Source organism: Homo sapiens, chromosome 7 (genome assembly GCF_000001405.40).
Source record: "Homo sapiens chromosome 7, GRCh38.p14 Primary Assembly".
NCBI classification, from domain to species: Eukaryota; Metazoa; Chordata; class Mammalia; order Primates; family Hominidae; genus Homo; species Homo sapiens.
In genome coordinates, this window is record NC_000007.14 from 42886879 (window position 1) to 42894896 (window position 8018).

Below are 8018 nucleotides of genomic sequence, written 5' to 3' on the forward strand. Positions count from 1 at the left end.
TATTTTAAAATAGCACAATTTTTTAAAAAGTAAAATGAGTCAAAGAGAACAAAATGGAGGAACATTTACAAGAAAGCAAGGAAAGTGTGAAGTGAGGCTTCTATAACCAAGCAAGATTCCTTCACATATCCAAGCTATGGAGAAACAGTTTTGAACATGCTGGAACTCAGGGGATGCTGACCCATGAGCTTTTTTCAAGAAACCTGACACCTGGGAAAACTGGTGAAACAAGATTAATAGTGAGTGTTTAATATATTTAACTGAAGATCTAAGACTAAACCAAAGGTAAGATAAGAATCAAAGGATGATATAGAAACATGTTCTCTGACAAAGTCAGAAAAAAGCACAACCTAAAAAAAGAAAGAGAGGGAAAAGCATAATTAGCTCAATGATTTACTTACAAAAGTTGGGAAACAAATGACATCATTTCAAGCTACCAAAAAAAAAAAGCAGAAGCTTAAATATATTTAGGTGCACAGAGTGCAAGTAAAGAAAGAGAATATGCATTATTCTAATCATTAAAATTGAATGGCAGAGAAAGGAAGGAAAGAGGAGTTTGCAAAACAAATTATATTCTTCTTGCTTACAGTAGAGACCCAGTCAATATTATCTAAAGGAAAGAAGGAAGAATGGGTATTATAAAAACGTCAGTACTAATACAAAAGTTCAAACATTTCCAATTATCAAAAGCAAAAAACAGAACAGAAAAACTAAGAAAACAGAACACATGGCAAAAGTTTTTTATAACTCTTTTTGAAAAAAATGAAGCATTTTTTAATGCCAGAACTGGGTATAAACATGTGGTGAGAGCTTATAATTTTATGTTGCCTTGGCATCCATCTTAAAATATGTTTTAACTTTCTCATACCAGAAGCAGGGCTCAGTCAGCCTTGACACCGTTTCTAATACTATTCCCCACTGGAATGGCTCCAGTTGGTGGCCAGAGATACTGCTTCATTTCAAGGAACCATTCAGACATTTGCCTGCAAACTTAACGTGACCGCCTCTCAGTCAGGGGGACCTCCTGGAACCAGTGCCTGCTTGCTTTAAATTCAACAATTAAACCTGTTTGGATAACACTCTGAACCCAATAAAGGTATTGGTCTACGGGTCCCTTCTCTCTCTCTCTCTCTCTCTCTCTCTCTCTCTCTCTGCCTGTACTCCTTGGTGTGTGGTGTGTGTGTGTGTGTGTGTGTGTGTGTGTGTGTGTGTGTGCGCGCGCGCGCGCCCGCGCTCCCTCCAGGATCTGTAAGTACCAAAAACGCTTAAACTTTCACACTGCGGTTGTGTCACTGAAGCAGTGCCTGAAATCTAATCCCTGAGTGTGACGCCGCCCCAAAGGGCCCCAAGCAGGTAGATCCCATGCTGATGCTCTTTTATCCTGGCCTCTCAGCTGTTGAGGAGAGTAATTGCCGGGCTAAACTGATAAAGTTTCATTCCAAACAATTAGCCTAGTCTGCAGGATTGCAGTCGCGGCTTGGACACCATCCCGGTGTCTGTCCCCCGCAGAGGGCTTGCTACCTTGCTGTATCAGCTGGCCCAGCAGGTCTGGGGCCGCGCGCTGCTTACAGGCGCTGGATCTCGCTGCTCGTCGCTGCGCGCTACTAGGTCCTGCTGTCGTCCGAGTCGCCTCCGGGACTCTCCGGAATTGTAGCGGCTGTAGCCGGCTCCTTGCCTGCGGCGCGGAGGGCAGGTCCCAGTGGTAGGAGGATGTGTTCCCTTTGCAGAATCAGACCCCCTCCTGGGACTGTGGGGACCCTCTGTCGCCGGCCTCCATTGGAGGATGCGTTGTCCCTGGAGCTGGGTGCGCTGTTGCGTGACCTGGGGCCTGGGTGGTGGGCGGGCCTGTCCATGGCAAAGGGCACGGCTGCGCGCTACTTCCCGAGAACCCGCCAGCAGGCTCTTGGGAAGCAGCGATTTCTCCTTAGTCACAGTCAGAGAGGGTGATGCGACACACTGGGCTTCACTGTGCTCGTGAAGCGGAGCCAGGGTGAAAGGATCATATGGCCTAACCCTAACCCTAATGGGAGTAACTTCACCTGCGTCCCACAGGCCCCGCAAGAGTGACGCTGCCAGGCAGGCGCCGCCCTGTTCGGTTCCTGCTGCTGTCGCTCCTCGCTCCCCACCACCTCCAGAGCTCCGGTGGGTCACCATGGAAAGGGAAGCCGCTGCCTGCAAGGCCAGCAGACACAGAGGTCACCCTCCAATTTTTTCGGGTAACATTCTGTAAGGACAGAACACCAGGAGGCTACTCCTACCACCAGGAGCATGTCAGGTAAACATCCAGAGAGATGAAGGAAGAAAAAATTTTATTTTAGCCACCAAGAAATACAAGCCGTTCTAAAGATTATACTTAAAAGAAAAAAAAAACAAAAAAAGGAAGGAAAAAGGGGACCGATGATCTTGCAATCACGGAAGTTGTAGAGAGCTGGCTGCCTAGAGACACTGTGCCCTTCCCTCCTCCCTCTTTTCCTCTTATCAACCAGAGGCAGAGACTAAGAATGCCTTCAAGCAACTAAAGCCTAAAATAAAAAAGAAAGAAAAGAGGAAGAGGGAGAGGGAGGGAGAGAGAGAGAGAGAGAGAGAGAGAGAGAGAGAGAGAGAGAGACTGTTGCTTTATGCTATTACAAGTCCAAGAAAAAAAAAAAAAGAGATGAACTTTAAACTTTAAATACTTAGCAGCTGCCAGGTCTAGCAAACATGCTAGCCCTAGATCACTTACTGATTTATAAACAAACCCCTAGATACAGAGGGGGAAAAAGGTAATTAAATAAAAGTTATATATAATATTTTAACATAAATATATGTTGATAAATGGTGTATATGATATATTTGCATCTTTTGATATAGTTAGAAGTTCATAATGCATATAGCAATTTATATATCAAAGAATTTACATAACAAAAAGATTAAAAAGGACACGTACTGGCTTTGTGCTTCTACAAGGTCAGTTCTAATTTAACTTTAACAATTTGTTAAAATGCACTAACAAAAATGCATGGACTTAATATTGGGGCTCAAATTATATTTATACCTGGGGAATTCCACTAAACTTAAACACTCTGCCCATGTAATCTTGAGCAGGTAACTGAATATAATATTTTGTAAATGAATATGCCTTGCATATTCATTTGTAGCATGGCCTAAATTTCCCATAGTTATATATCCATTGCTGTAAGATATTCTATATTAGGCAGAGATGCTCTGACACAATAAATAACAAATTAAAATTAAAGTAAGTCTTTGGCACTTACAAATTGACTTAATAAAATGGAACCCCTTGTACCCCCAGTTAATATAGTTAATATGGCCCAAAGTAAGTTGAAATGGATTAAAACCAATTCTAAAAAACCTATTAATAAAGGCGTGATTATTCCCACTTCCCCATTTAACAGCCCTTTCATTAGGGCCCCTATATCCAATACCTAATATTATTAAAATTGCTGATTCCGTTCAATCAACAACTGGTAAATATTTTGCTCTTGTGGATTTGGCTAACGTGCTGTTTCAATAGCGTCTTCACTGCAGTTCGCCTCCTCCTCTAAAAGAACACAGTACACCTTTTCAGACCTCTGCAGCTGTGTCATCACATGCAATCTTTAATTAATCTTAACGACATCCACCTTCTCCAGGAGCACTGGTATGAGAGTACATCCAGGACATTCTCAGCCAAGGAGACTCACTTAATACATACATTGATGACATTCGAGACCAATATTTCTTAGTACTTTTGGGTTTTGGTGGCAACATATTCCTCATTTATAAATTTTACTTCTAAATTAAAGTCTACAGACACTCCTGTAAGTGACTTCTTAAAAAAAAAAAAAGCCTTTACTGTAGAGTCTTCTCAACCTTTTCAAATGCCTCCTGCAATCTCTGGATATTTAGGATAGCTATCAGTTGCCCCAGGATTTCTGATACGAGATATTGCCCCTGTTGGCCTCATGCTATACAGCATTAATACAATAGATGACTGGCCCCCACTTACTGGGCTGTCCCAGAAATAGAGGCTCTCCCAGACCCTGAGCCTGTGACCCTCTATACCCAGCTGCCCATTATGCTTTGGGCCATGGAAACAGACCCCACAAGCTCAACACAGCTACTGAGGCTCCCTAAGACAGATGGGAACAAACCTGGGTCCTCTGGTATATTCTACCCACAGGAGGGTATAGCTTCCCCTGTTCTAAGCCCCTTGCCAGACGCCAGGGTGCTGGAGGATGACATCCCTCCCCTAAACCCCTTGACTACTAGGAAGCCCTGTGGATTAACTGAGTGACCAGTAAAGGGAGTTCATAGACTATGTGAATGGCACTGCCAGCCCCTGTGCATGGTGGAGCCTAGTGGAATGTGCTGCTTTCCATTCCTTAGCCAGGATGTCCCTAATAAAGGATGGGGCCCAAATACAACGCACGTGGCCAAAACTCCAGGTGGTCATCTTAGCACTGGATACCCTGGTCAACAACTGGTCCTGTCTTCATGTTTATTATAAACTATTAGGCCATTACTGAAAAATTGGCCCCTCAAGGATAAAAAAAAAAAAAAGAAAAAGAAAATCTCTGGGAATCTCTTACTTCGCACTCACCCAAAACATAAATTAGAATCATACTTCTCCACTTAGAGTTGAGGCCACAATGCAAGGCCGTGCTAGCCATGCCTTATTCCCTTCAGAGTCATGGCTGTTACTAACAGTAACCAAGGCACACAATTCACTTCTTAGAACACATCATGCTGGGCTCCTGAGGAACATTCAATAGAACTTTCATGTCCATGACAGGTCCCAAATGACTGGTCTCAATAAGAGACATCATGATGGTTTAAACAACTCCTTTTCAAACTTCAATACCACAAATAAACTAAAGTTCTCTAGTTTGCCCCTGGCCTTAACCTACTTTTTTTTAACAATTTTTTTATCTTGTCCCCATCCCTTAAGGTCTGTAGGTCAGATCAAGGACATAGACTCTCCTGGGACTCATTAACCATATATTGTCCCACAGGCCTGGCAGCTGCTCATCTTATATGAAACCCATTTGAACCTAAATGTCCACCCAAAACAAAACCCTGTCAGGTGCAGCTGCACACCATTTCTTTGATTGTTGGTCTTATTACTATCAGTTTGGGTGCTTTCATTGGTTTACAACTGGACACCCAAACCCTCCAGTAGTAGATCATTGTTTCAACCAGTTATGACAAATGCTGAGGCCCGCACCAACTCAGGTGCCTACCCATTGAGACATCTCAGTCTCACCTCCTGGAGGACACTGCCCCAACTCAAGACCTCAGCGTTGGAGATGACTTTGCTCCCTGTGCCAGACATGGCTTCACTCTGGACACTAAAATCTCCCCCCAGTGATACTCACAGACTGCCTCTCCAAAAGCAGAAAACGCACATTTATTATTTTTCTTCCTGAACTCACTGTCTACCTGATCCTGCTATACTTCTTACTCTCTGCTACCTCCACACTCCCATACCTAAAGGGAACTCATAATACAGGTTACTAAAATGAATGAAGATTATTGCCTTTCCCAGGAGACACCAGCCCCATGTCAGTCAATCGTGTGGCTCCCTGGGGAGATGACCACCTACTCCCTGAAATCTTTCCTACTAAGCCCCTCCAGTTTTCACCACAATCTCTCACCCTGCATCTCCGAACATCACCACTATGATCCCTCTCTCCCCTTACTCTTGAGAAATCTCCAGCACTCAACCACAACTGCCTTAATTTTGAATAAGATGCTGAGGCACCAAGAGGTGAATTGCAGTGGATTTCATTCAAAATGAAACCTGAAGCCATATATGGACTTAACTGACCAATTAAATATCATGATTTTCAAATTTGATCACATAGCAAAACTCAAACCTGTGCGATAAAACAAGAGACATATTTAAAATATAATAACTCCAAGGACTAGATTGCAGCTCTGGACAGAGCAGCATGCGGAGGCTTGCGCTGTGAATTTTAGCTCCAGATCAACTGCAAGTAAAAACCAGCAATCCCAAGAGGACCCACAGACCCTCTGAAGGAAGTAGGCTGCTCCTGCAGCCGGGGGAGACACCCCAAATACTGTGAGTGCCCCAACTGTGGAAGTGGGAAAGGGTGACCCTCCTCTCCCAAATACATATCCTCACTGGAGAAGCTGAAGATCTGTTTGCAGGAGAAGTTTCTGACTTTACCTGGAGCTGAGTCAGGTTAGAGAGCTGAGCAAAGTGCAGGGGTAGAGGAAGCAGCAGAAAGGCCCTGGGAGCTCTCTGGGTCCCCAGGCAGCCCATTCCTGCCTGGCACCACAGCGATCCATCGGGAGGTTGGCCAGAGGAACAGGGGGGTAAACCTCCACAGGGAGAAGGAATTCTCTACCCGAACTTTGTAACAGTTTGAATGGGGGAGAAGCCTCCTGGCCAGAACTCAGTGGGAGGGCACAAATTGGGCATGTAGAATTCACAGGCCAGGAAGAACTAAAGTCCTTTTCTCTCACAGCTGGGAGGCAGATAGCCTCGGGCAAATTTTCAAGCCAGTCTTGCCTTCACCTGGAAATGGACTCAGGATGTTAGGGGGGTGCATGGACTCAGGATGTTGGGGGGTGCACGGTGGGAGTGAGACTGGCCCTTCAGTTTCCATGGGAGCCGGCAAAGGCCTGCCATTGCTGGCTTTCCCCCACTTCCCTGACAACCTGCATGACTCAGCAGAGGCAGCCATAATCCTCCTAGGTACACAGCTCCACAGCAGCTGCAGCAAGACAGGCCCAAGGAGAGTCTGAGCTCAGACACCCCTAGCCCCACCCCCACCTGATGGTTCTTCCCTACCCACCCTGGTAGCAGAAGACAAAGGGCATATAATCTTGGGAGATCTAGGGCCACACCCACCGCTGGTCCCTCTCCACAATACTACATACAGCTAACGCTTTCTGGAAAGCACCACCTCCTGGCAGAAGGCCAACCAGCACAAAAATAGAGCACTAAACCACCAAAGCTAAGGACCCTCAAGGAGTCAATTGCACTCTTTGCCAACTCCACCAGAACAGGTGCTGGTATCCACGGGTGAGAGACTGATAGATGGTTCTCATCACAGGACTCTGTGCAGACAACCCCCAGTGCCAGTCTGGAGCCAGGCAGACTCACTGGGTGGCTAGACCCAGAAGAGAGACAACAATCACTGCAGTTTCGCTCACAGTAAGCCACATCCATAAGAAAAGGAGGTGAGTACTACATCAAGGGAACACCCCGTGAAACAAAATAATTTGAATAACAGCCTTTAGCCCTAGACCTTCCCTCTGACAGAGGAAACCCAAGTGAGAAGGAACCAGAAAACCACCCAGGTAATATGACAAAACAAGGCTCTTCAATACCCCCAAAAAAATCACCGTAGTTCACCAGCAATGGATCCAGACCAAGAAGAAATCCCTGATTTACCTGAGAAAGAATTCAGGAGGTTAGTTATTAAGCTATTCAGGGAGGGACCAGAGAAAGGTGAAACCCAATGCAAGGAATCCAAAAAATGATACAAAAAGTAGAGGAAGAAATATTCATGGGAATAGGTAGCTTAAAGAAAAAACAATCAAAGACTCAGGAAACTCTGGCCACACTTTTAGAAATGTGAAATGCTCTGGAAAGTCTCAGCAATATAATTGAACAAGTAGAATAAAGAAATACAATATCACAATCCAACAAAGACAAAGAAAAAAGAATAAGAAAATATGAACAAAGCCTCCAAGAAGTCTGGGACTATGTTAAACAACCAAACTTAAGAATAATCGGTGTACCTGAGAAAGAAGAGAATTCTAAAAGCATGGAAAACATATTTGGGGGAAGAATTGAGGAAAACTTCCCCTGCATTGTGAGAGATCTAGACAGCCAAATAAGAGCAAGAACACCTGGGAAATTCATCACAAAAAGATCTTCACCGAGGAACATTGTCATCAGGTTATTCAAAGTTAAGACGAAGGAAAGAATCTTAAGAGCTGTGAGACAGAAGCACCAGGTAACCTATAAAGGAAAACCTACCAGATTAACAGCAGATTTCTCA

At 44.5% G+C, this 8018-nt stretch overlaps 3 annotated features.

Annotated features, from left to right (window-relative positions):
• Positions 1498–2041: an enhancer, noted in NCBI's record as "H3K27ac-H3K4me1 hESC enhancer chr7:42927975-42928518 (GRCh37/hg19 assembly coordinates)". NCBI's record gives its function as "activates a minimal SCP1, AML or CMV promoter by ChIP-STARR-seq in naive H9 embryonic stem cells {active_cell/tissue: H9 hESC(naive)}" and the evidence as "EXISTENCE:reporter gene assay evidence [ECO:0000049][PMID:30033119]".
• Positions 1507–1556: a silencer, noted in NCBI's record as "silent region_18121". NCBI's record gives its function as "represses an Ori minimal core promoter by ATAC-STARR-seq in GM12878 lymphoblastoid cells {active_cell/tissue: GM12878}" and the evidence as "EXISTENCE:reporter gene assay evidence [ECO:0000049][PMID:35858748]".
• Positions 1637–1686: an enhancer, noted in NCBI's record as "active region_25903". NCBI's record gives its function as "activates an Ori minimal core promoter by ATAC-STARR-seq in GM12878 lymphoblastoid cells {active_cell/tissue: GM12878}" and the evidence as "EXISTENCE:reporter gene assay evidence [ECO:0000049][PMID:35858748]".